The 27,533-nt window shown below is 39.6% G+C and overlaps 1 long non-coding RNA gene across 5 annotated transcripts in view; it reads left to right on the top strand.

Annotated features, from left to right (window-relative positions):
* TTC14-DT (TTC14 divergent transcript) overlaps window positions 1–27,533 on the top strand; it is a 121,249-nt gene that overhangs the window by 31,092 nt on the left and 62,624 nt on the right. For 3 of the 5 annotated variants that reach the window (NR_183702.1, NR_183704.1, NR_183703.1), the window contains 3 exons: window positions 4,161–4,295; window positions 4,882–5,014; window positions 7,037–7,611. The exons of 1 other annotated variant lie outside the window; for it this stretch is intronic. This is a non-coding gene — a long non-coding RNA (TTC14 divergent transcript). Of the gene's footprint in view, window positions 1–4,160; window positions 4,296–4,881; window positions 5,015–7,036; window positions 7,612–27,533 lie in introns of those variants that run through there. One more of the 5 variants, NR_183701.1, reaches the window with a different exon arrangement.

The raw sequence follows: 27,533 nt of genomic DNA, 5'->3' as shown, positions 1-27,533 counted from the left end.
TCAACCTCCCAAAGTGCTGGCATCGAATATTTTTCTAGTTGCTAGGAAGAAAATGTTGAGCAAAAAGAGAAGGTCCCTGTGCTCAGGGCCTTAGAGTCTAGTGTGAAAAAGAGAGAGTAAGCAAATGACCACACACATACATGTATACTTACAGAGAGAGGGGAATGAGAAGTAGGGCAGAGGTTTCTGTTGGTAGTGAGGAATTTGACTTCATATATGACATGTGAATTGAGATCCATAAGATGAGTAGGATCTCACTAAGGGAAGAGAAGTGAAAGGTAAATTATTCTAGAGGAAACGATATGTTCATTGCTCCTCCTTTCTCTTCCTTTCCTCCTTCCTCAGTTCCTCAAAGCTCATGACGGCACCAGGGGTAATGCACTGTATGGTTCTTCCAAGTGTTAAAAATACTGAAAATCTTTCATTACGTTGGTAAAGAGTTTCTGCAGCAAAATCTCTGAGTGGGTCCTCCCTAGTCTTCCCTCTGCCTTGGCTGCCCTAGACCCTTTCCCAGAACCCACCAGAGCCCCCCATAATCAGCAACTAAATGGTTGATGCCTGCTGCAAAAGAGGCACTCGGGGACCTACTTCCTCATTCGGGCTGGAGTCTGCTGTATTAGATTGGTGCTGGTGCCATGTTCGTTGTAAAATATTTTGAATGTCACTCATTGATACAATATCCACAGTTTCTCTAGTTAATCTCCTGGGAGAGATATAAAGAAGTGATAAATTACCTACCTAAATCAGTCTCAAGAGTTATTTGCTTTTCTTTTAATTCTTTAAATTTGCTTATAGTTTTTAATTTATTACCTACAACCTTTGAAGCTAACAGCAGAGAAACTATCTTGCCCTTTGCATGAATTACTATGTATCTCACTTTAATTCCTTGGCTCATTGTGATCATATTTTACCTTTGTGTTACTTATTTTAATGACAGAGTCACAGAAATTTTACTCTATCCTCCAAATACAGTTTAAAATATATAGATCTAATCACAGTAGAAGGTAAGCAAGAGAGCACAACTTCAAATCTATTTCTAGAGGATTAAATTCACAGTTCTGGTTAGCAAATAAAAAGACTATTGCTTTTCATACTGTTTTGGAAATTGAGAGCTAACTGTTGTGGTTGAACTGAGATATCAGCCAGTGTAGAAAATTTTAGTTTTATTATTGCCTGTACATATGGATGTCAAATCCTAGATGTTGCAGTGGGATATTTAATAAAAAGAAAAATGGGTTACATCCAGTATATTGTCCTTTAACTCACTAAATTTTCCTTATTTCTGTAGATGTCTAAGTGAGGAATGGATGCTTTTAGCATGTGAACGGAATCTTCTAAGGCCCTTTCCTGAATGATCACTGGAAATAAGGGCTTCTTTTTCAACTTCTCTCTGTTAGCTGTGTTTAATCTATTTGATTTTTCTTTATGAAGAAGTCGGGTTTGTGGAAGCAGCAGCCTTACCTTTCCATACATTATGTATGCACGCCACCTAATTTAGCACAGGTTTTAACAATACACGATATCAGTAATTATTCCAAAGTTTCCATCTGAGCTAACAAACTTCAGTCCTAGCCAGCAACTTCTCACTTTTAATGATGAATAGAGAATAAAAGACTGCTGCACAGGTTGTGTTTGTTACTTAACAAAAATTCTCAGGGAAGCCTAGAAAAGTTTCCAGAGGTTGTGATGAGCAGAGGAAGCAGGGGGCAGCTTTCATTTCTACATCTCCACATGGCAGGAGATTTTAATGCAGTAATTATCTTAGTGTTTAATGCTAATGAGTTAACTCTCATCTAACAGATATATAGCAGTTATATTTTGGTAGGAAAGAATACAGAACATCACCACAGAAGTTCAAAGACTTCAGGAAGCTTTATTTAGATAGCAAAATATATTCCATGACAAAAACAAACTGAATAATGAGAAATGAAAAAATGTGTCTACCTCAAAGGAAAGAGAAAACAGCAAAGCCTCCTCACGCCATACCAGGAAAAGAGAAAACGAGAGAGGAGTGCTACTGCAGGTGGAGCATTTACCTCCTTAAGAAAGGTGCTGTTATGGGCCACCAATTCCAAGTAGTCTGCCCTAAGATAGATGAGTGGTGAAGTCTATTCAGAATCTGACAGGGTCAGGTCCTGTGAATATCATGGTATCAAAAAATGATGGAGCTCGGAGGAATTAATTCACTTGGTTAATTGAGCATTTACTATTATAGCTGCCACTGTCCAAGCACTGAAGGTAAAGCAGTTAAAAAGGTACCCTAGGCCTGTATCCTCAAGGTTATTATCAAATACATTTTGAATGTAATTTCAGGTAACTGCAAATGCTATGAAGAGAAATGAAGTCTGAGGTGTGGGGATTGTGACTGAAGGGCTGAGTTGTTTTAGAGAGGGTAGTCAGGAATTGCTCTTTGTGGAAGAGACATTTAGTCAGGGGTCTGAATGATGTGAAGGTGTCAAATGTATAAATGTCCTTGGGAAGAACATTCTAGGCAAATAGAAATGCCAGTTCACGGGACCTGAGGTGGGGGTGAGTTCACATATTTGAAGAACAGCCAGAAAGCTAGTGGAGTAAGTTAGGGAGAGTGGGTAAGGATGAGATGAGAGAGGTAGTCAGGCTAGATCATGTAGTATTTTATTCAAAATTTGATGGGAAGTCACTGAAGATTTTGAGTAGGGGGAGGGGTGATGTGATCTACCCCATGTTTTAAAAATGATTACTCATATGCTATAAGGAGATGAGACTATAGAAGGGTAAGTAGAAAAGCAGGAAAGCCAATAGGGAGGCAATTGCAATATTCCTGGTGATGATGAAGATGGACATGCACTAAGTGGTAGTAGTAGAGTGGTGAGAAATGGTTGGATTCTGGATTTATTTTGATGGCAAACCTAATAAGACCTGCTAATGGGCTATGGGGTGAAAGAAAGGCAAACATCAATAATGATTCTTTGATTTTTAGCTTAAGCACCTGGGTGAATATTGGCAACTTACTACTATAAACTGAGAAACCAGCCTTAGGAAAGATGCTGTTGTCAGAACTTATTATCCACTTTACCTCAAAAGACCATCAGGGTCTCTTAATCTCTGCCATGACCAGCTACCTAAATCTGTCAGGTTACCCATCACCAGAGGGGCATGGCTCTGGAGTGAGACTGGGTTCAAATCCTAGCTCTGCTATTTACTATATGTGTAACATTAACAAGTTACTAACCTGTCTGTGACTCAGTATACTCATCTGGAAAGTGGGGATGAAAACAATGGTGCTTACCTCATTTAGTTTGGGTGGCAGTTATTGTATGAGTTTACATATAGCTCTTCAACAATGTGGCATATGGTTATTGTTCTTTTTTTTTTTTTTTTTTTTGAGACGGAGTTTCGCTCTGTCGCCCAGGCTGGAGTGCAGTGGCGCGATCTCGACTCACTGCAAGCTCCGCCTCCCGGGTTCATGCCATTCTCCTGCCTCAGCCTCCCGTGTAGCTGGGACTACAGGCGCGCGCCACCATGCCTGGCTAATTTTTGTATTTTTAGTAGAGACGGGGTTTCACCGTGTTAGCCAGGATGGTCTCGATCTCCTGACCTCGTGATCCGCCCGTCTCGGCCTCCCAAAGTGCTGGGATTACAGGCGTGAGCCACCGCGCCCGGCCGGTTATTGTTCTTTAAGTTAGCTGTTATCACACAGACTTTTCTGTCCATAAGCCATGCTTATATCTTAGACCTTATTATTGCTAATAATTGGAGTACAGTCTATATGGAGCTCTGGAGGCTTCATTTATTCAGGAATTTTTTAGGCTATTCAATTCAACAATTTCAACTTGTTAAAAAATTGTTTTTGACAGGTATGTAATCTAGGCCATAGAGAAGTTAAGTGAGTTGACAGAGGTCGCAGAATTAATTAGTGGCTGAGCTGGAATGCCTACTTGGATCATTTTCACTGCATTTTTACATCTCTGCCTTTCATTTAATTTGAATTTCTTGAGTTTTCTGTATCCTATCAAATTTCATATCCCTTATTGATAAGGTCACTTAAAGATTTTTGAAATGTCATTGGTCATTAATAGTGTCAATCACACATAAATCATATTTGGCAATTTTTGAGTCATATAGGCTTATAAATGTATAAATCCATTGGACATTACATTTGTGTTTTGTTTTGTTTTTAGCAATAACAAGCAAGATTCAGAAGTCCAACAAGTAAGACATTGATTTCATTAAGAGAGAACTAGTAAGCAAGCTATTTGGGAAGTACACTCTCATAAGAATATTGTTTCATGAAGTCTTGAGCAACAAAGGAAATAGTAAGTAAGGAGAGCAAAATGGGGGAATCACTGTGCAGGGAAACAGAAAGTACGTACTAGGCATGAGTTCCTGACATAGATTCTAGTTCAAATGTTAACCAGTTGTGCTATGTCAAAGAAGTCATTCAACCTCCCAGTTCCTTAGTGTTTTGCATGTAAAATGAGGGGAGGGAGCCAGGTGATCTTGGGATCTGTGCCATCACTAGACTGCTAAGGTAAGGCTTAAGTGATCTTGTCACCATTTTACATTTTGTTCATTGATTCTTATTCAAAGGAGTCATATGTAGAACCATTTGAAAATATTGGCTATAGATAGCTTAGGAGTTGAAGGAAAGTGTTAAAAATAGAATTAAATAAATGGATTTTCTCTGAGCAAAAGGCTGTCACAGACTCTGAGGACTAGTATAAGGAGTGAACAGCAGGGTGATTTTAAGAGCTCTTCTTGGGAAATTTCGTGACTATCAGACTCAACATTAGTCTATCCTTGCTGTGTCCTGCCCTGACCTTGTGTGCTATTTGTAGTTATGCCTCTAAAGTCTGGCATTTTCCTCCCAAGCCCAGACTAAGACTTTATTTGCTTGCACAGGTCCATGAAGTGCACTGCTGTCAGACTCCCTCTAAGAATACTTCAACTGCTCATGAAGCGGGGGGCCTTAACTATTTACTTCTTTTGGAAGCCTCCATCTGGCCCATCTATCTTTATTCTCCCAGGATCACAGGTACATTGTGATTATTGTACTTTCTTTTGCTGACCAAAGTCAGTTTTATCTCTCAGTCTGCTCATTAGATGGAGCCATCTAGTCCCTGGACTCTGTCATCCCTGCTGGAACTTCTGAACCCATTCTGAAGCAGGGTCCCAGAGTTTTTTTTAATCTTCTCCATAGTTCCTGGGTCTGCAGGGGTTGGACCATTCACCAACACTTCCCAGCATTGTCTCTAAAAGCCTACTTCTTCATCATGGGCTATCTGGTGAAAGGCCTGGTTTATTTGTTCATTCTATTTTCAGAAATGAGCTGAAAGTCACTGGGGCTATACTAACGAACATCAGGTACTATCCGTTAACACTCTTACCATCCATTCAGTTCCACTGACTCTCATGGAAGCAGTCAGTTACTATGGCTTGTTTAAATAGACAGATGGTGGGGTTGGCATATTGTCAGTAGTAGAATCAGAACCTCTGATCCACAGAATACTGTTCTTTTATTAAAGGTGTCCTATAAAAGTTTGAAATGATATAAAGCTCATTTATCCAACAGATTTATTATTATTCTTTTAACACAAACTATACGAAGCATGCACATGGGACTAGGGTTAAACATAGTGAAAAAGGCATTTAACCCTCTTTAGTAATGTCTGAGGTATCCAGAGGACCTGGGAATAGTTACAGATACTCTTCACATGTCTTCCTTAGAGCATATGTGAACTGAGTCATAGAAATGGCCCTAAACATGCTATAGTTGCCCAAGGTAAATATGCAAACTACTATTGGTTATATTTTCTTTGGTTATATATGACTATATTTAAAGAAATGAACAAAATACCCTGTCATGTCGATTACATGAATAAGTACTCAGTACGAGTTTATTGTATAAGTAAATCAATAATCAAATGTTTTTATGAAATGATCACAGTTAAGTTCACTACCACAGAAGTTAAAATAGAACTGAGTAGCTGCAACTCCTAGCTATTGTTTGTCAAACACAGGAAAAATCCCAGTTTGGGGTATTTTACAGACTTTAGGCCTTTTAGACTTGAGAGGTAACTTCACTGTCAAAGGCTGCAACTGAAGAGCCAGCAGGAAAATTTCCACACTGACCAAAACAATGATAGTTTTCCTGTTACCCCCTGTAAAATTTATCATGACGTTGGCTGTTGGCAGGGGCTACCGATGAGACTGGGAAACATTACTGTCAACAGCAAAAGTACTTTAATATTTATGCTTTTGACCTCAAATGAAATTTAGATGGCTAACTAAAAAATGATTTATATTTACCTTAACAAAGTATTGATTTATGCTTTGTTTGGCACTCTCAATATCTGTATTCCTTCAATCTTGAAATGTTTTTAGGTGGGTCTTGTGGTATAATAGAAAAAAATAAATCCCAGCACTGCCACATATGACAAGTTATTTAACCTCTTTAGCTTCCTATTTTTCTTCTGTAAGATGGGGATAATAATAATAATAATACCTATAATTATTATTCATAATATCTTTGATATAATGTGTGTAAAATATATAGTGTAGTGCTTCACACACAGTAAACGCTCAATAAATATTAGTTACTTATATTAGGTTGGTGCAAAAGTAATTGTGGGATTTGCCTTTAAAAGTACTAGCAAATGCCATTAAATGCCAATTAAAAGTAATGGCAAGACCCGCAATGGCATTAAAAGTAATGGCAAAACCCACAATTACTTTTGCACCAATGTAATATTAATGCCAATTAAGATATTGCCAATATTAAACACCTATTAAAAGTAATGGCAAATGCCATTAAATGCCAATTAAAAGTAATGGCAAAACCCACAATTACTTTTGAACCAACGTAATATTAATACAGTACCTTATATATAATAGATTATTATGAATTATTATTAAATGAAAGAAAAGTGAATAACTTTAGTATCACAGGATCTCAGGAATATTTTACCATTTATTATAATTTTACCCAGCTCTTTTTCATAGATCCGGCATATCACATTTTTCTTTTGTGAATATGTATGCTCTTTCTTAATCTCAGCCCTTTGCGTCATGCCAAGGAAGCCTTGGAATATTTTGTTTCTGAGGCCAAGTTTCATTGGCCTGTCAAGGGATAATCCTTCATCTGGGAAAAGAAATGGACATGGAGCTACTGCACACAAGGTTTGGGGTGTTTTTCTCTTAAGAAATATAAACATTAAACACGGGAAGTAACGAGAACATGAAGCGTTCTTCAGATTCTGCACATCTTGCCCCACATCATAAGATTTTCTGCTTGCTGCTGAATCATTTCTATTGGAGGAAAGTGTAATGCACATTTCACTGCCCCAAATAAAACCGGAAAAGTAGCATTTGTATATTGTCACTAACAATCACGTTCTGTGCGAAAGAGTGAGGAAGATCATCTCAGCTCCAGTGAAGCACTAACTGTGAACAAGCCCTTCTTTGTCCATCTCTCCTGTAATTAGATGTGGGTCAGGGGTTGCCACTGTTGGGAAATTTGAAACAATAAAAGAAAAGGACTCTCACAAGAAAGGGCCATGCAAACAGTGTGAGTGATATTTGATTATGTGTCAATATTGTTTTGAATAGAAAACAAAAATTATTGAAAAACCATTCTGACTGATGTCTGTTTATACAAGCTGTAAATCTTTCCTTCACTGCCTTATACAAATATTGATTGGTTAATTTCTGACCTATCAAGAAAAGAGTCTCTCTGATCAATGGCTAAGTAGTTTCCCAAGCAATGTCTCACTTTTATTGTCTAATTTCATATTTCTTCTGCATTTTTAAATGTGTTTATCTTGGACTAAGATATGTTCAATAGTTGCTTTTTTTGCCACATGTTCTTTTTCTTGTTTTAAGAATAAACCTTAATTCTTTTTTTTTTTTTATACTTTAAGTTTTAGGGTACATGTGCACAATGTGCAGGTGTCTCTGTCTCCTTCAGTTCTGCTCTGATCTTAGTTATTTCTTGCCTTCTGCTAGCTTTTGAATGTGTTTGCTCTTGCTCCTCTAGTTCTTTTAATTTTGATGTTAGGGTGTCGATTTTAGATGTTTTCTTGTGGGCATTGAGTGCTATAAATTTCCCTCTACCCAGTGCTTTAATTGTGTCCCAGAGATTCTGGTATGTTGTGTCTTTGTTCTCATTGGTTTCAAAGAACATCTTTATTTCTGCCTTCATTTCACTATTTACCCAGTAGTCATTCAGGAGCAGGTTGTTCAGCTTCCATGTAGTTGTGTGGTTTTGAGTGAGTTTCTTAATCCTGACTTCTAATTTGATTGCACTGTGGTCTGAGAGACTGTTAAGATTTCTGTTCTTTTACATTTGCCGAGGAGTCCTTTACTTCCAACTATGTGGTCAGTTTTGGAATAAATACTATGTGGTGCTGAGAAGAATGTATATTCTCTTGATTTGGGGTGGAGAGTTCTGTAGATGTCTATGAGGTCTGCTTGGTGCAGAGCTGAGTTCAAGTCCTGGATATCCTTGTTAACTTTCTGTCTCGTTGATCTGTGTAATGTTGACAGTGGGGTGTTAAAGTCTCCCATTATTATTATATGGGGTCTAAGTCTCTTTGTAGGTCTCTAAGGACTTGCTTTTGAATCTGGGTGCTCCCGTATTGGGTGCATATGTAGAATAGTTAGCTCTTCTTGTTGAATTGATCCCTTTACCATTATGTAATGGCCTTCTTCGTCTCTTTTGATCTTTGTTGGTTTAACGTCTGTTTTATCTGAGACTGGGATTGCAACCCCTGCTTATTTTTTGTTTTCCATTTGCTTGGTAGATCTTCCTCCGTCGCTTTATTTTGAGCCTATGTGTGTCTCTGCATGTGAGATGGGTCTCCTGAATACAGCACACTGATGGGTCTTGACTCTTTATACAATTTGCCAGTCTGTGTCTTTTAATTGGGGCATTTAGCCCATTTACATTTAAAGTTAATATTGTTATGTGTGAATTTCATCCTGTCATGATGATGTTTGCTGGTTATTTTGCTTGTTAGTTGATGCATTTTCTTCCTAGCATTGATGGTCTTTACAATTTGGCATGTTTTTGCAGTGGCTGGTACCGGTTGTTCCTTTACGTGTTTAGTGCTTCCTTCAGAAGCTCTTGTAAGGCAGGCCTCATGGTTACAAAATCTCTCAGCATTTGCTTGTCTGTAAAGGATTTTATTTCTCCTTCACTTATGAAGCTTAGTTTGGCTGGATATGAAATTTTGGGTTGAAAATTCTTTTCTTTAAGAATGTTGAGTATTGGCCCTCACTCCTTCTGGCTTGTAGAGTTTCTGCTGAGAGATCAGCTGTTAGTCTGATGGGCTTCCCTTTGTGGGTAACCCGACCTTTCTCTCTGGCTGCCCTTAACATTTTTTCCTTCATTTCAACCTTGGTGAGTCTGACAATTGTGTCTTGAGGTTGCTCTTCACAAGGATTATCTTTGTGGCGTTCTCTGTATTTCCTGAATTTGAATGTTGGCCTACCTTGCTAGGTTGGGGAAGTTCTCCTGGATAATATCCTGAAGAGTGTTTTCCAACTTGGTTCCATTCTCCTTGTCACTTTCAGGTACACCAATCAAACATAGATTTGGTCTTTTCACATATTCCCATATTTCTTGGAGGCTTTGTTTGTTTCTTTTCACTCTTTTTTCTCTAATCTTCTTCTCTCGCTTCATTTCATTCATTTGATCTTCAATCACTGATGCCCTTCTTTCCACTTGATCGAATTGGCTACTGAAGCTTCTGCATGTGTCACGTAGTTCTCGTACCATGGTTTTCAGCTCCATCAAATCATTTAAGGTCTTCTCTATGCTGTTTATTCTAGTTAGCCATTCCTCTAATCTTTTTTCAAGGTTTTTAGCTTCCTTGCAATGGGTGTGAACATCCTCCTTTAGCTCAGAGATGTTTGTTATTACCAATCTTCTGAAGCCTACTTCTGTCAACTTCTCAAAGTCATTTTCCATCCCGCTTTGTTCCATGGCTGGCGAGGAGCTGCGATCCTTTGGAAGAGAAGAGGCACTCTGGTTTTTAGAATTTTCAGCTTTTCTGCTCTGGTTTCTCCCCATCTTTGTGGTTTTATCTACCTTTGATCTTTGATGATGGTGACCTACATATGGGGTTTTGGTGTGGGTGTCCTTTTTGTTGATGTTGATGGTATTCCTTTCTGTTTGTTAGTTTTCCTTCTAACAGACAGGACCCTCAGTTGCAGGTCTGTTTGAGTTTGCTGGAGGTCCACTCCAGACCCTGTTTCCCTGGGTGTCACCAGTGGAGGCTGCAGAACAGCAAATATTGCAAAACAGCAAATGTTGCTGCCTGATCCTTCCTCTGGAAGCTTCGTCTCAGAGGGGCACCTGGCTGTATGAGGTGTCAGTTGGCCCCTACTGGGAGGTGTCTCCCAGTTAGGCTACTTGGGGGTCAGAGACCCACTTGAGGAGGCAGTCTGTCAGATCTGAGGCAGTTCTCAGATCTCAAACTCCATGCTAGGAGAACCACTGCTCTCTTCAAAGCTCTCAGACAGGGATGTTTAAGTCTGCAGAAGTTTCTGCTGCCTTTTGTTCAGCTATGCCCTGACCCCAGAGGTGGAGTCTACAGAGGCAGGCAGGCCTCCTTGAGCTGCAGTGAGCTCCACCCAGTTCGAGCTTCCTGGCGCTTTGTTTACCTAGTCAAGCTTTAGCAATGGTGGATGCCTTTCCCCTAGCCTTGCTGCTGCCTTGCAGTTCAATCTCGGACTGCTGTGCTGGTAGTGAGCAGGGCTCAGTGGGCATGGGACCCACTGAGCCATGTGCGGGATATAATCTCCTGGTGTGCCATTTGCTAAGACCATTGGAAAAACGTGGTATTAGGGCAAGAGTGTCCCGATTTTCCAAGTACCGTCTGTCATGGCTTCCCTTGGCTAGGAAAGGGAATTCCCTGACCTCTTGCACTTCCTGGGTGAGGCGACGCCTAGCTCTGCTTTGGCTCACACTCCATGGGCTGCACTCACTGTCCAACCAGTCCCAGTGAGATGAACCAGGTACCTCAGTTGGAAATGCAGAAATCACCTGTCTTCTGTGTCGCTCACACTGGGAGCTGTAGACTGGAGCTGTTCCTGTTCGGCCATCTTCAATGTTAATTCCTCTTTTCTTCTTTATTAGTCTGGCTAGGGTTCTATCTATTTTGTTGATCTTTTCAAAAACCAACTCTTGGATTTGTTGATTTTTTCAAGAGTTTTTTGTATCTCTAGCTCCTTCAGTTCTGCTTTGATCTTAGTGATTTCTTGTCTTCTGCTAGCTTTTGAATTTGCTTGCTCTTGTATCTCTAGTTCTTTTAATTGTGATGTTAGAGTGTCAATTTTAGATCTTTCCTGCTTTCTCTTGTGGGCATTTAGTGCTATAAATTTCCCTCTACACACTGCTTTAAATGTGTCCCAGAGTTTCTGGTACATTGTGTCTTTGTTCTTATTGGTTTCAAAGAACATTTTAATTTCTGCCTTCATTTCATCATTTACCCAGTAGTCATTCAGGAGCAGTTTGTTCAGTTTCTATGTAGTTGCGCGATTTTGAGAGTTTCTTAATCTTGAGTTGTAATTTGATTGCACTGTGGTCTGAGAGACAGTTTGTTATGATTTCTGTTCTTTTAAATTTGTTGAGGAGTGCTTTACTTCCAATTATGTGGTCAATTTTAGAATAAGTGTGATGTGGTGCTGAGAAGAATGTATATTCTGTTGATTTGGGGTGGCAGGTTCTGTAGATGTCTATTAGGTCTGCTTGGTCCAGAGCTGTGTTCGAGTCCTGAATATCCTTGTTAATTTTCTGTCCCATTGATCTGTCTAATATTGACAGTAGGGTGTTAAAGTCTCCCGCTATTATTGTGTGGGAGTCTGAGTCTCTTTGTAGGTCTCTAAGAAATCTCTAAGAACTTGCTTTATAAATCTGGGTGCTCCTGTATTGAGTGCATATATATTTAGGATAGTTAGCTCTTCTTGTTGCATTGACCCCTTTACCATTATGTAATGGCCTTTGTCTCTTGCGATCTTTGTTGGTTTAAACTGCGTTTTATCAGAGACTAGGATTGTAATTCCTGCTTTTTTTTTGCTTTCCGTTTGCTTGGTAATTCTTCCTCCATCCCTTTATTTTGAGCCTATGTATGTCTTTGCATGTGAGATGGGTCTCCTGAATACAGCACATCAGTGGGTCTTGACTCTAGCCAATTTGCCAGTCTGTGTCTTTTAATTGGGCCATTTAGTTCATTTACATTTAAGGTATATATATATATATTTATTTATTTATTTATTTTTGAGAAGGAGTCTCACTCTGTTGCCCAGGCTGGAGTGCAGTGGCATGATCTCGGCTCACTGCATACTCTGCCTCCCGGGTTCACGCCATTCTCCTGCCTCAGCCTCCCGAGTAGCTGGGACTACAGGTGCCCGCCACTGTGCCCGGCTAATTTATTGTATTTTTAGTCGAGATGGGGTTTCACCATGTTAGCAAGGCTGGTCTCGATCTCCTGACCTCGTGATCCGCCCACCTTGGCCTCCCAAAGTGCTGGGATTACAAGCGTGAGCCACCGCACCCAGCCTATGGTTAATATTGTTATATATGAATTTGATTCTGTCATTATGATGCTAGCTGGTTATTTTGCCAGTAAGTTGATGCAGATTCTTCATGGCATTGGTGGTCTTTGCAATTTGGTATGTTTTTGCAGTGGCTGGTACCAGTTTTCCTTTCCATGTTTAGTGCTTCCTTCAGGAGCTCTTGTAAGGCAGGCCTGGTGGTGACAAAATCTCTCAGCATTTGCTTGTCTGTAAAGGATTTTATTTCTCCTTTGCTTATGAAGCTTAGTTTGGCTGGATATGAAATTCTGGGTTGAAATTTTTTTTTTTAAGAATGTTGAATATTGGCCCCCATTCTGTTCTGGCTTGTAGGGTTTCTGCTGAGAGATCTGCTATTAGTCTGATGGGCTTCCCTTTGTGGGTAGCCCAACCTTTTTCCCTGGCTGCCCTTAACACGTTTTCCTTCATTTCAACCTTGGTGAATCTGATGATTATGTGTCTCAGGGTTGCTCTTCTCGAGGAGTATCTTTGTGGTGTTGTCTGTATTTCCTGAATTTGAATGTTGGCCTACCTTGCTAGATTGGGGAAGTTCTTCTGGATAATATCCTGAAGAGTGTTTTCCAACTTGGTTCTGTTCTCCCCATCACTTTCAGGTACACCAATCAAACATAGATTTGGTCTTTTCACATAGTCCTATATTTCTTGGAGGCTTTGTTGGTTTCTTTTCACTACTTTTTTCTCTAATCTTGTCTTCTCACTTTATTTCATTGAGTTGATCTTCAATCTCTGATATCCTTTCTTCCACTTGATTGATTCAGCTATTGATACTTGTGTATCATACTTGTGTATGCTTCACGAAGTTCTTGTGCTGTGTTGTTCAGCTCCATCTACATTTATGTTCTTCTCTAAACTGGTTATTCTAGTTAGCAATTCATCTTACCTTTTTTTTTCAAGGTTCTTGTCTTTCTTGCATTGGGTTAGAACATGCTCCTTTAGCTCAGAGAAGTTTGTTTTTACCCACCTTCTGAAGCCTACTTCTGTCAATTCGTCAAACTCATTCTCCCTCCAGTTTTGTTCCCTTGCTGATGAGGAGTTGTGATCCTTCAGAGGAGAAGAGGCATTCTGGTTTTTGGAATTTTGACCTTTTTGCGCTGGTTTCTCCCCATCTTTGTGGATTTGTTTACCTTTGGTCTTTGATGTTGGTGACCTTCGGATGGGGTCTCTGAGTGGACATCCTTTCTGTTGATATTGATGGTATTCCTTTCTGTTTGTTAGTTTTCCTTCTAACAGTCAGGCCCCTCTGCTGCAGGTCTGTTGTAGTTTGCTGGAGGTCCACTTCAGACCCTGTTTGCCTGAGTATCAGCAGCTGAGGCTGCAGAACAGCAAAGATTGCTGCCTGTTCCTTCCTCTGGAAAGTTCGTTGCAGAGGGGCACCTGCCAGATGCCAGCCAGAGCTCTCCTCAGCTCTTCTCTATGAGGTGTCTGTCAGCCTCTACTGGGAGGTGTTTCCCAGTCAGGATACATGGGGGTCAGGGACCTACTTGAGGAGGCAGTCTGTCCCTTATCAGAGTTTGAATGCTGTGCTGGGAGATCTGCTGCTCTATTCAGAGCTTCATGCAGGGATGCTTAAGTCTGCTAAAGCTGCACCCACGGCCACCCCTTCCCCCAGGTGCTCTGTCCCAGGGAGATTGGGGTTTTATCTATAAGTCTCTGACTGGGGCTGCTGCCGTTTTTTCAGAGATGCCTTGCCCAGAGGGGAGGAATTTAGAGAGGCAGTCTGGCCACAGCGGCCTTGCTGAGCTGCGGTGGGCTCTACCCAGTTTCAACTTCCCAGCGGCTTTGTTTACACTGTGAGGGTAAAACCATCTACTCAAGCCTCAGCAATGGCGGATGCCCCTACCCCCACCAAACTCAGGCATCCTAGGTCGACCTCAGACTGCTGTGCTAGCAACAAGAATTTCACGCCAGTGGATCTTTGCTTTCTGGGCTCCATGGGGGTGGGACCTGCTGAGCCAGACCACTTGGCTCTTTGGCTTCAGCCCCCTTTCCAAGGGAGTGAATGGTTTTCTCTCACTGGCATTGCAGGTGCCACTGGAATATGAAAAAAACTCCTGCAGCTAGCTCAGTGTCTGCCTTAATGGCCACCCAGTTTTGTGGTTGAAACCTAGAGCCCTGGTCGCATAGGCACCAGAGGGAATCTCCTGGTCTGTGGGTTGCAAAGACCATGGGAAAAGTGCAATATCTGGGCCAGAGTGCACCGTTCCTCCCGGTACAGTCTCTCACGGCTTCTCTTGGCTGGGGGAGGGAAATCCCCTGACCCCTTGTACTTCCTGGGTGAGACAATGCCCTACCCTGCTTCAGGTTACCCTCCGTGGGCTGCACTCACTGTCCAACCAGTCCCAGTGAGATGAATGGGTACCTCAGTTAGAAATGCAGAAATCACCCGCCTTTTGCGTCAATCTCACTGGGAGCTGCAGACCAGAGCTATTCTTATTTGGCCATCTTGCTAGCCTCAGGCTCGAGTTAATACTTTTAAGAGGTGTTGATTGGTTCTCTGTGAGGTTGTTCAGAATTCACTCATCCTACACAAACTTTTTGGAGATCAACTACTGATGAGATTAAAGAATTTAAAGATGATTTTAGGAAGCAAAATTCTAAAATGTAACTGATATAAAATTAATTAACTTGGAATTTTTTAACTTGTATGTTCTGAATGTTGGTGTTCCTCCACAATTCATATGTTGGAACCTAATAGTCATGTGATAGTATTAAAAGGTGGGGCCATTTGAAAAATGATTAAATCATGATGGTTCTGCCTTCATGAATGGGATTGCCATTATAACAGAATACCCAAGACTGGGTAATTTATAAAGAGTACTGGGTAATTTATAAAGAGTAATTTATAAAGAGTACTGGGTAATTTATAAAGAGTATTGGATAATTTATAAAGAGTACAGATTTATGTATCATGGTTCTTGAGGCTGGGAAGTCCAAGATCGAGGGGCTAGCATCTTGTTTAGGGACTTCTTGCTGCATCATAAGGTATCACATGAGCAAGAAACAGAAAAGGTAGCTGAATTCCCCCTTTTAAAATGAGCCCACTTCCATGATAACTAACATGATAACAGCATTAATTCATTCATGAGAACAGAGCCCTCATAGCTGAATCACCTCTCATTAAGCCCCACCTCCTAACACTGTTGCACTGGGGTTCCAGTTTGAAACATGTGAACTTTGGAGGACACATTCAAGCCATAGCAGTGCCTTTATAAAAAAGGTTGAAGGATGTGCTCCTGGCCTTTCATCATGTGGGAATGCAGCAAGAGGTACCATCAATAAAGCAGAGAGTGAGCCTTCACCAGACACTGAATCTGCTGGTGTCTTGATCTTGGACTTTCCAGCTTCCACAACTATGAGAAATAAATTTCTATTATTTATAAATTAGTCTAAGACATTTTGTTATAGCAGCCCAAATGAAGACAGAACTATAGCATTGTATTGTAATAGTTAACCTTTAGTGACTGAAATACAGAAGACAGAGGACATTCAGAGAGAAAGAAATCATGTTTCTTTATAACTTATTTATTATTAGTCAACAAACATTAATTGAGCATTTTGCTCTTGAACTAGATACTGGAAATACAAACAACTCAGTGGCTTTGCATATGTAATTTTTTCCTTCAAGAATGCCGCTACTAGTTCTCCATCTAGAAACCTACTCATTCTTCCAGATTTAGTTCAAGGGATATTCCCTGAACAAAGATAATTAGTTGATCAAGACTCTGTTCTTTGGTGTATTATTTGCATATTGTATATTATCTGCACATTACTAAATAGATAAAAGTAATGTGTCTACCAACTCATATCTACAAACTTAAGTGTAAACTCTTCACAGAGAGATATCACTGTTAACCTTGTATCTTTCCTTCTTGCTTTTTAATGTTCACTGTTTTATAAAATTGTGATATTTTTGCCTCATTCTCTACACATTACATGGGAAGCATTTATTTATGTGGCTAAATAGTCTTCAAATTAATGATTTTTTACTGGTACCATATCACATGTGTATCATATTTGATTTAGCTCTTACTCTGTTCTTGGACAGTTAGGTTATTTCCAATTTCCTAATATTATAAATAATGCTGAAATTCTTCAAGAAACTTTTTATTTTGAATTTTAACGTTTCTAGAAGTGATATTACTATGTCAAATGATATGAGCACTGTTAAGGTCAAATTACTTTCTAAAAAGTCTGTTCCATGAGTAATAAATGAGCATGACTATTTTACCACACCTGCTCTTGCCAACACTAGACATTATCATTTCAAAAACTTTGCCAGTTTGATACACAAGAAATATCTCATTTTATTTCTTGAATAATTATTATTGTTTTTATTCTGCTTTTGTCCTTTGGACAGTTGTGTTTTCAACCATGATTATTTTCTGCACTCTGTTGTTTAGCAAAAGAGGAATTAAGACATTAAATAAAAAGCAACTTCAAATATGCTTTAAAAAAGAATAAGAATGTTAATGTACATCTTGAGTCAATTTTTAATTATTGATAAGTACAGATATCAAAGTATTTTACCATTGTGGTGATAGTAACTGTAATGAGAAAAACCAAGACTCGTATTTAAAAAACCATCCCCCAAACTGGAAGGGAACTAAGAGACCAAAAAATGACTCAGGCAAGTCCAACATGGCGAGTACGTAAGTTTATTAGGACTTGCATATGAGGCACTCCTGGATGGCAGCAGGGCATCTTTAGAGATCTGTCCTGCCTCCCATCTCTAAGCTGCTTTTAAGCTAATTTTCTGGCTCTTTGCCGTGTGTGTGTGTGTGTGTGTGTGTGTGTGTGTGTGTGTTTGTGTGTGATGGGACTGTTTTCCTTGTTAGCTTCTCATATACTCTCTCCGAGATATTTGGGTTCTTAGGGACACCTGCTCCTTGGCTAGGCATCATGGCCTTGGCTCGCAGCCTGGCCTCCAGGGTTCAGGCAGCAGACATACACCCTTAAGTAACATGGTGAGGGACCTGTCACACTGCAATCCATCAGCCCTTACATTCTTTCCATAAATCTTGTGTAAGAGTCCCTGAGTGGGGTATGAGGGGAAGAACTCTACAAATGTGTAACATATAGACATGGCTTGTGTGTACAAGTCACATCCACAGTATACATAACAACATAAAAAACAGAAGCTAACCATAATTATAACGTCTATTAGCAAGCATAACTCCAATGAGTAGGTAAGGTGTGTAACCATTTTGAGCATGAGTCAAAGAAACCTAATTGGGCTGTATCATGGAACTAAGTTGACAAATTATTCAACGCATCTGTGACATTATCCTTTTTATCAGGGGTATAGGTACAACAACAGGTATTGTGTATAAGAGCACATGTTGTTGGTTCTCCATCAAATTGGCCATTAGGCTTCCAGGTGGAGACAATCCCCGGTGAACCTGGGTTGCACTATTGGTGCTGATGTACCTGGCACTCCAGTTCTGTAGGGAGAAAGGCAGACTGTTGTGAGGCATACTGTTATAATTTGATAGGGGGAGGTATCCATATACCCAATAATTGGACTGGTTGCTGACTGCTACTGTAGTTACATTCCAGTGCAGCTTCCATGGGTAGCAGGAACAACAGCCTACTGGCATAAACACAGGTGTTTAGCAGGAACCCTCATGGGTGTATCCACTCCTTGTAACATTATTACTGCTATATTATCTCCCATTGGCCCCATTAGGGAGGCCACCATGTACTTCATGTCTAGCTTATAGTACCATACATGGTTTCCTTCCCTAAGAGTGGGCACAGTAGCCAACTGGTAAGTTTCCAGCCTTGCCCACACTATCAGCACTATGCCTACTCCTGTAGGTATTGGTGCTGCCGTGTGTTGATATTGTAAAGCTCTCAGACCTCTATAAAGGAGCATAGCTTGGATCGCCTCTCCTCCATCAGTCTTCATAGTGCCCCCCAGTGCCATAAAACTGACCCAGTATGGGAGCAATTTCCAGCTCAACTTCAGGTCCACGTAGCCATTGCCACTTGGCAGATCCACTGCTGTTCTCAGGAGCACAGTCTGCCCATCTGTTTCAGGAGCATGGCTTGGAGTCTCAGGTAATCCTGAGAATTTGTGACACCTGTTTTACAGGCCTGCCCAACCATTCACAGGGAGTGATGCCATGTGTGGTAGTGGGTGACTTATTTAAAATTTGTATAGCTTCAGGGAGATCCTTAGTCTAGTACCCTTAAGAACTGTCCTGAGACAATGCACATAATTGAGTTTTTAACAGGCCATTTTTTTTTTCTATGAGGCCTACCCTGTTGGGTTATATGGCCAGTGGAATCTTTAGTCTATATTTTGTTCCAATGCCCCATGTTGGATATCGTGACCTGTGAAATGGGGGCCTTGATCACTATCCTTTTTGGCATGTCATACATGACACCAAGAGCAGTGAGACTCTTGGTCTCCAGTTGAGTGGCATGTCTTACTGGGAAGGCCCCTGTAGTAGCCCCATTGTTGTGTCTGTACAAGTTAAGGCATACCTTCTCCTTCTCCCTCTACCTGGGGACAGGAGGCCAATATAACTGACTTGCCAGTCTTGCACAGTTGTATGGCTCGATGTATGTGAGTTGGTGTGGAGGGAACTTTTCCAGGTCGCAGTTATGAGCAGATCTCACGGTTCTGAACAGCTGCCAAAGCATCTCCAGATTGGATTGGGATGCCTGCCGCCTTTCGTATGGCCCACCTGTCGCTGCCCCTTGGTGACTGCTCCTGTGATGTACCCATATGGCAGCCTCCTCCAATGGGCTCTGGCAAAGTGCCCAAACATGAGTAAGGGCATCTGCCTCCTGAGTTCTCAGAAGCAACCTGGGGCTGTGTGTATCCACATGGTACACCTGAGTTGGGCATCCTTCTCTTATAACTTGATGTGAATGTTCTGCCACATGGACATTCCCCAAAGGGGCTTGCCCCAAACCTGCCAACTGTCTGTGGCCCATTGATTGATTCACATGGTAAGTCCTGTTTGTGTAGCCCAACTATCTGTGTAGATAGATGATTAGCAGCCAAGCCTCATAGGTGATGGGTATCCAAACTGCCTGTAACCTAGCCCATTGACTGCTTTGTCCTAATCCCCGTTCTCTCCGTATGGTGTCAGTATCCCTTTGCACCACAAACTGCTGACCGTTGGTGTTAGGTAACTTTGCTAGACCCATCAGTGTATCAAGCCTAGTGAGTATCACCTGGGACTCCTCATATATGTGGTTGACCTGATAGGTGGCTCCATTGCCATGTCTGCTACCTCCACTTGTTCAAAGTGGATGGATCTTAATGCCTCCTATAGTGCCTGACTTAAAGGACTAGTGGACAAGCCACCCCTAAGTTGTAGACAGGGATGCCACTTATGCCGTGTGATTGTGCCACTCTAGGGGTGGGCTTGGCTAGGAGACCTTTCATTCACCCTTTTATGAGTAGGCAGTTTTTTTCTGTGGTGGTCTGCTTTCTGGTGATAGCCTCCACTTGTTGCAATGTCCTATACAGGGCTGAGAGTTATTGCCCCAGGACTGTATAGTAGGATTCTGACCCCCTCTACAATTGAGATAAAAGCCCAACAGGTAACAATTCCTGTTGGTTGCTTTTGCCACAAACTCCAGCTCATCCCTGTGGCATCTCTAGTGGCTTCTAATACAAAAGGATGCTGTGGCAGTGGGGCACCTAATGCTTTGGCTTGTTTTACAGTATTTTTGATTTGTCAAATGCCTCTTGCTCTATATGTGTACAGTCTCATTTTTAATTTTCCTTTATTGAAGGAAAGGTGAAGGGTTTGTACCAAACGAATAAATAGCTCAGTAAACCTAGGACAACCTGGAGTTAGCTTACTATCTGGGGAACAGGCTACTGTGATACCTTATTGATGACAGTTTTAGGTATGTTTTACATCTTCTCCAACCAGGTGACTCTCAGGAATTTGATGGCTATACTGGGCCCCTGTTTCTTCTTGGGGTTGACTTCTCATTCCCTGTCCTTTGAGCCATCCAAGATAGTTTGTAGGGCAGTCTTCAAATCTGTAAAAGGCTCTGAGGTTTGCATGTCATCATTAATATGGTAAAACAGGAAGACCAAGGCAGGCAGAAAGAGTCTAGACAGGTCCTTTGCAACCATACTGTGACATATGATGTGGCTGTGCAGGTACCCTTGTGGTAGCACCTAAAAAGTCTATCATTGGCCCTACTAAGTGAAGGCAAACTGGTCTTGTGAATCTTCCACTAAAGGAATACTAGGAAAGGTGTTAGACAGGTCAGTCACAGCATGGACATTTCCCAGTGTACAAACCACTTGCTGTAGCAGTTGAGCACTATTGGGTACAGCTGCACGTGCGGGGACACCACTTTGTTCAGCTCACGGTAGTCTACAGTCATTCTCCAGGTGCTATCTGGTGTCTTCACAGGACACATAGGGCTGCTACAGGGGTTGTGGGCCATACTGACTATTTGTACTTTATGTAATTCCTGAACTGTTTGGGTGATTTCAGAGTGTCCCCCTGGCAGACAGTATTGTTTCATATATATTGCCTGTTTGGGCCGGGGCAAGTGTACAGACACCCATTTGGCCCATCATCCCTTTTTTGTTCCTTAATTACTTTTTGGACATGGTCTTTGTTTTTATCCAGCTCACTGAAGTCCACCAATGCTTCCCCCATATTACAACCTTTTTTAAACTGGAAGTGATCAAGACATTCAGTGAGTGCCTAAAATAACTTTAAGAGTTTAAACTACATGAAAGTTTTACCCACAAGCATTGATCTCATTTACATTTACTCAATCTATTCACTTTTAGCAGTTTATCTGGGTTACTAGTGAGAACCAAGACATTCTGTAAAGCTACATATCATTGCAAACTATTTTTCTGTTAACTATTTTCATAGCTTGTGAATATCAGGTATTCAGCTAAGCAAGAACCTTCAAGTTAAACATGGGCATTTTTGCTGATAACTCAGAAAAATTCAGCTGTTTCCATTAAACCAACCATATCAAATTAATCTTGCTTATTAAAAAAATCACACAAACAAAGATCATTTTGTTTTTGGCTGGGTTTACAGTCTTATAACCTTCATGTCAAACTCTGACACCATAAAGTATCTAGCAGAAGCAAATATAAAATGTATCTATTAGCAAACTCAGACAAAAATGTATGCTGACACTTTTGAAGATACACTTTTATTTTACCAGTAATTTTAAAGCCAGTTTATTTACCAAAGATTATTGAATTTATATAAACTTGGAAAGCATTTGAACTTATTTATGAGTACTCATTTATTTATAAGTTAATGTGGTAGAATGCTAGATATAACACATAACATAATACATGTACATACACATAAACACATTTAAACATGTATGCACACATACAAAGATCCAATGGCTTTCACCTTGGAATTCTAGCCATGAGACAGCATCATAAACTCATTATATTACAAAAGACAGCTGGATTCAAATTATTTTTTATAAAATTGGGACCTGTTCACATGGCTAAACTTTATTTGCCCTGATAGATAATCCAAGGAAAGTTGTGGATCAAAATTTTGGGTAAAGCAGTTTCCATGGCAGTTTGATTTTTAAAAACCTGTTTTGTCCTTTTTTTTTCTTCAGTTTCAAATGAATTTCATTGTTTACATTTTAGCTAGAACTGGCTGAACTGTACAAGAAAAACAAAATCCCCAAATAACCTTGAATTAGTGTTACCATAAACAGTGAGTTTTATTTCAACACTAGCAACTTAAAAATAGCAGATTCAAAGCAGGCAGAAAAAGAGAGAGAGAAATAGAAAGTGTTAGAAGATTCTGCTTAACTTTATAGTTGTGGGTTAACCATTTGAGCTCTGATTTTTTTTTTTTTTTTTTTTGTAATTTGCCTGTCAGTTTTCAAATGTGCACAAGAAGGGACCATGATATGTAACAAGCTGGAGTCCTAGAAAACCTGATATGCCTTTGACCCTCTGCAGGAGTTTTTACTCTTTCTCCCTTTCCTGCTCTAATGATTTCTTAGTAGCTAGCCTTATTGCAACAACAGTGCATTTACTATCTTTATTGTACTTTAATATCTTAGCTTCTTGCAATAGGTGCTCAGTCTCTACCAGTGTTTTCCAAGTGTCCCCATACTTATGTGGTGGCCCACAAAGTTTGAACAATTGGGCTAGTCCACCTCACATGCACGTTGCCAACTCTGAGATTTCCTCCATAGATACTCCTCCCTGACTCACCATTTGGTCTCTCAGATCCTGTTCACAATGCCAATTTTAATGAGAAAAACCTGGAATCATATTTTAAAAACCATCCCCCAAACTGAGAGGGAGCCAAGGGACCAAAAAGGAGATAGCAGTGAAGTGGAATAGAATTGAATACAGAATCTGAGCTCTGGCCCTACTGTGTGAATACCTGAAAAATACTCATCTCTCTAAAATGAGATTTTCTTATTTGTAACAAGGAAAAGTTTGGTTAATAGAGATCCACAATAATAAATTTATAAGAGAAAACCAGAATTAAACATAGTCTCTTATCAGAAAAAAATGGCCAGCCATACTATTTATCTATAGTAACTGATTTTAAACATATTTAGGCTTCTTTCTTAAAATCTAACCCTCTGCCATTTCTTAAAATATTAAATGATTTGTGAAAATTTATTCTTCCCCTTCAACCTTACTTATATGAAATCTAAAACCTAGGTTGACCTTGGAGATTATCTATTGGATCTGATCCAATTCAATGGAGTGCCAAATTTAATTTATGATTTCTGTTGGAGAGTATACATAAAATGAATTTGGGAGTGTAATTCTAAATGTTTAGGTCTATCAAACAGCTCTTTTTTAAAAGAGAAGCATTGGTAAAAATCATTTTATCTTTCTAGATTCTAAAAATATACTATTGAATACATAAGGCATGCAATATACCTGTTTCTTTTAAAGTTACTAGATGCTTGATTTGTTTGAACAAAGTGACAGGTAGTAATCTATCATAGTCTCTTCATTTACAAAAAAAAAATTATCAGATGTTATCCAGTGACTTAAATCTGCCAGGTGAACATCTTTCTTTGGTCTCAGGTGAAGCTGTAAATCTTCATTCATGAGTTTTTTTCTTCTTTAAACACATGTATAGCTGTTTAGTTGAATTACAGAAGGTGAGAACTGAAAGAGATCTTATGAATGACTTCACTGTAACCCCTCATTGTAGCATGTGCCTCATCCTACAATTAATTAGGTTATACCACTCATTGGTATAATTTATACACACATCAGGTTTGGAAGACCTGAAGCTTGAACTAATATTTTCACTCCTAGTAGATCACTTTTCTTTCACATCGTCTGATGCATAGAAGATACTCTAATAATATCTAGTGGCTAAATGAATGGGTCATTGTGGCAAAATACTTTAACATCACAGGCTATTTTTACATGGTAATGGATGTAAAGGTAAGATAAGCAAACTGAGAATAAGGAGGTTTCAGTTTGAACTCAAGCCTAGGGACTTTTGAAATCATTTCAACTCTATGTGTCTTCATTTCTTTATCTCTAAGATGAAGTACCATAGGAATTTTAGAATAGTTTTTTCCTGTTTCTCTGGAAAATGACTTTGGCAGTTTGATAGGAATAGTGTTGAATCTGTAAATTTTGGGGGACAGTATGGCCATTTTAACGATATTGATTCTTCCAATTCATGAGCATGGAATGTTTTTCCATTTATTTGTGTTGTCTCTGATGTCTTTCAGCAGTGTTTTGTAGTTCTTCTTGTAGATATCTTTCACCTCCTTGGTTAAATATGTTAGGTATTTCAGTTTTTTTGTGTGCCTACTGTAAATGGGATTTTGTTCTCGATTTGACTCTCAACTTGAATGTTATTGATATATAGAAATGCTACTGATTTTTATACATTGATTTTGTATCCTGAAACTTTGCTAAAGGCATTTATCAGTTATAGGAGCCTTTTGTGGAGTCTTTAGGGATTTCTAGGTATAGAATCATATCAATCATATCATCAGTGAAAAGAGATAGTTTGACTTCTTCCTTTCCTATTTGGATTCATTTTATTTCTTTCTCTTGCCTGATTGCACTGGCTAGAACTTCCAGTACTATACTGAATAGGAGTGGTGGGAGAGGGCATCTTTTTCTTGTTCCAATTATCAAGGGGAATGGTTCCAGCTTTTGCTTGTTCAGTATGATGCTGGCTGTGGGTTTTTCATTGATGGCTCCTATTATTTTGAGGTATGTTCCTTTTATGCCTAGTCTGTTGAGGGTTTTTATTATCAAGGGATTTTGGATTTTATTGTATGCTTTTGCTGCATCTATTGAGATAATCATATGGATTTTTCTTTTAATTCTGTTTATGTGGTAAATTACATTTATTGATTGCATATGTTGAACCAGCTGTACATCCCAGGAATAAAGCCTACTTGATCAGGGTGTGTTAACTTTTTGGTGTGCTCCCGGATTTGGTTTGCTAGTATTTTGTTGGGGAATTTTGCATCTATGTTCATCAGGAATATTAGCCTGAAGCTTTCTTATTTCATTATGCCTGTGCCAGTTTTTGCTATCAGGCTGATGCTGGCTTCATAAAATGAGTTAGAGAGGAGCCCCTCCTCCTCAATTTTTTTTGGAATAGTTTCAGTAGGATTGATAACAGTTCTTTGTATATCTGATAGAATTTGTCTGTGACTCCATCGGGTCCAGGATGTTAACAAAGCTGGAGGCTTTACACTACCTGACTTCAAATTATGCTAAAAGGCTACAGTAAGCAAAACATTATGGTACTGGCGCAAAAAAAGACACCTAGACCAATGGAACAGAATAAAAAACCCAGAAATAAAGCTGAACACCTGCAGCCATCTGATCTTTGACAAAGCCAACACAAATAAGCAATGGGGGAAGGACTCCCTATTCAATAAGTGGTGCTGGGATAGCTGGCTAGCCATATGCAGAAAAATGAAACTAGATGCCTACCTTTCACCATATACAAAAATTAACGCAAGATGGGTTAAATATTTAAAAATAAGACCTCAAGCTATAAAAATCCTAGAAGAAAACCTAGGAAATACCCTTCTCTATATCAGCCTTGGCAAATAATTTTTGGCAAAGCCCCCAAAAGCAATTGCAACAAAACCAAAAATTGACAAGTAGAACCTAATGAAAGTAAATAGCTTCTGCACAGCAAAAGAACTATCGACAGAGTAAACAAACAACCTACTGAATGGAAGAAAATATTTGCAAACTGTGCCTCTAATAAAAGCCTAATATTTAGAATCTATAGGAACTTAAATCAACAATCAAAAACAACCCTATTAAAAATGGGCAAAGGACATGAACACACTTCTCAAAAGAAGACACACAATGCCAATAAGCATATGAAAAAATGTTTAACATCACTAATCACTAGAGAAATGAAAATCAAAACCGCAATGAGATACCATCTCACACCAGTCAGAATGGCTATCATTAAACAGTCAAAAAACAACAGATGCTGGTGAGGCTGCAGAGGAAAGGGAACACTTACACGCTGTTAGTGGGAATGTAAATTAGTTCAGCCACTGTGGAAAGCAGTTTGGAGATTTCTCAAAGAACTCAAAACTGAACCACCATTCAACTCAGCAATCCCCTTCCAGGTTATATACCCAAAAGAAAATAAGTTATTTTACCAAAGAGGCACATGCATGCATATGTTCATTGCAGCACCATTCATAGTAGCAAAGACATGGAATCAACCTACGCGCCCATCACCAGTGGATAAAGAAAATATGGCACATACGTACCATGGAATAGTATGTAGCTGTAAAAAAGAATGAAATCTCATCCTTTGCAGCAACATGAATGCAGCTGAAGGCCATTATCCTAAGCAAATTAACACAGGAACAGAAAACCAAATATTGCATGTTCTCACTCGTAAGTTAGAGCTAAACATTGGGCACTCAGGGACATAAAGATGGTACCAATAGACACTCTGGACTACTTGAAGGGCGAGGGAGATGGGTTGAAAAACTACCTATTAGGTACTGTTCTCAGTATTTGGGTGATGGGATCAATCATACCCCAAATCTCAGAATCATGCAATATGACCAGGTAACAAACCTACACATGTACCCCCATTTCTAAAAGAAAAGTTGAAATCATTAAAAAATAAAATAAAATGAAGTTATTGGCCTTTATATTTACCAAGATTCTTTTATTTGAAACATGTATATTATTGAAAGTTAAAGACTGTGAACGCATTTTTATTTCATATGTTGGTTTGCAAGTAGAATTAATGGTAGGTGTGAATTTTGTAATCTGATTATTGGGCTCATATCCTACCTTCACATTTTTAGCAAGTAACATTGAGATTGATCCGAGACTTGAAACAAGTGCTCTCAATATTTGAGAAAATATTTTCATGTAAAATGCTGACTAGGACCATTTTAATATGAAGTTATGTCTCTAATAATTCAAAATATGCTATTAATTAGTTTTAAAATTTCAGACTAGCAAAGTCAGGACTGAACATATCAAGGTATCAAATACTTTACTGTCAGTCTACCTCATGCTTCTAACTCCACCTCTGGCTTTGTCTGACATCAGGGTCAGACTCTTACTGACATTTGTGAAGGACAGAAAGTGGCTTCATTAGAATCTTCAAAGGAAACCAGAGTAAAATAAGAGACAAAGGGGTTCCTTAGAGAAAAGAATTACTACAACAAATGAAAGAGTCTGTCACAATGGGAAGAGAGAATTGATGTAGGGTACAAATGTGAGGCTGCTTTTAAATTTACACAGCTCAGACTTCTGTGGTCACTTATGACCCTGGAAAAGAGATAGTTATGTGCCGAAGTTAAAAGCAGTTTATTACTATGAGCCCAAACATTTCTGCTGTCAGATTCCTTCTCCCTTCTCATGGAAGGGTTGAAAATGTGGACATCATTTCTCTACCAGTCAGAGAGAGGTGAGGACTGGAGGTCAAGGTTGGGTTAACACCAAGGTATTGGTGACCCGAATA

The sequence above is a fragment of the Homo sapiens genome, chromosome 3, assembly GCF_000001405.40.
Source record: "Homo sapiens chromosome 3, GRCh38.p14 Primary Assembly".
In the NCBI taxonomy this organism is placed as follows: Eukaryota; Metazoa; Chordata; class Mammalia; order Primates; family Hominidae; genus Homo; species Homo sapiens.
The sequence above is the reverse complement of the archived record's forward strand: the minus strand, read 5'-3'. Positions and strand labels throughout refer to the sequence as shown.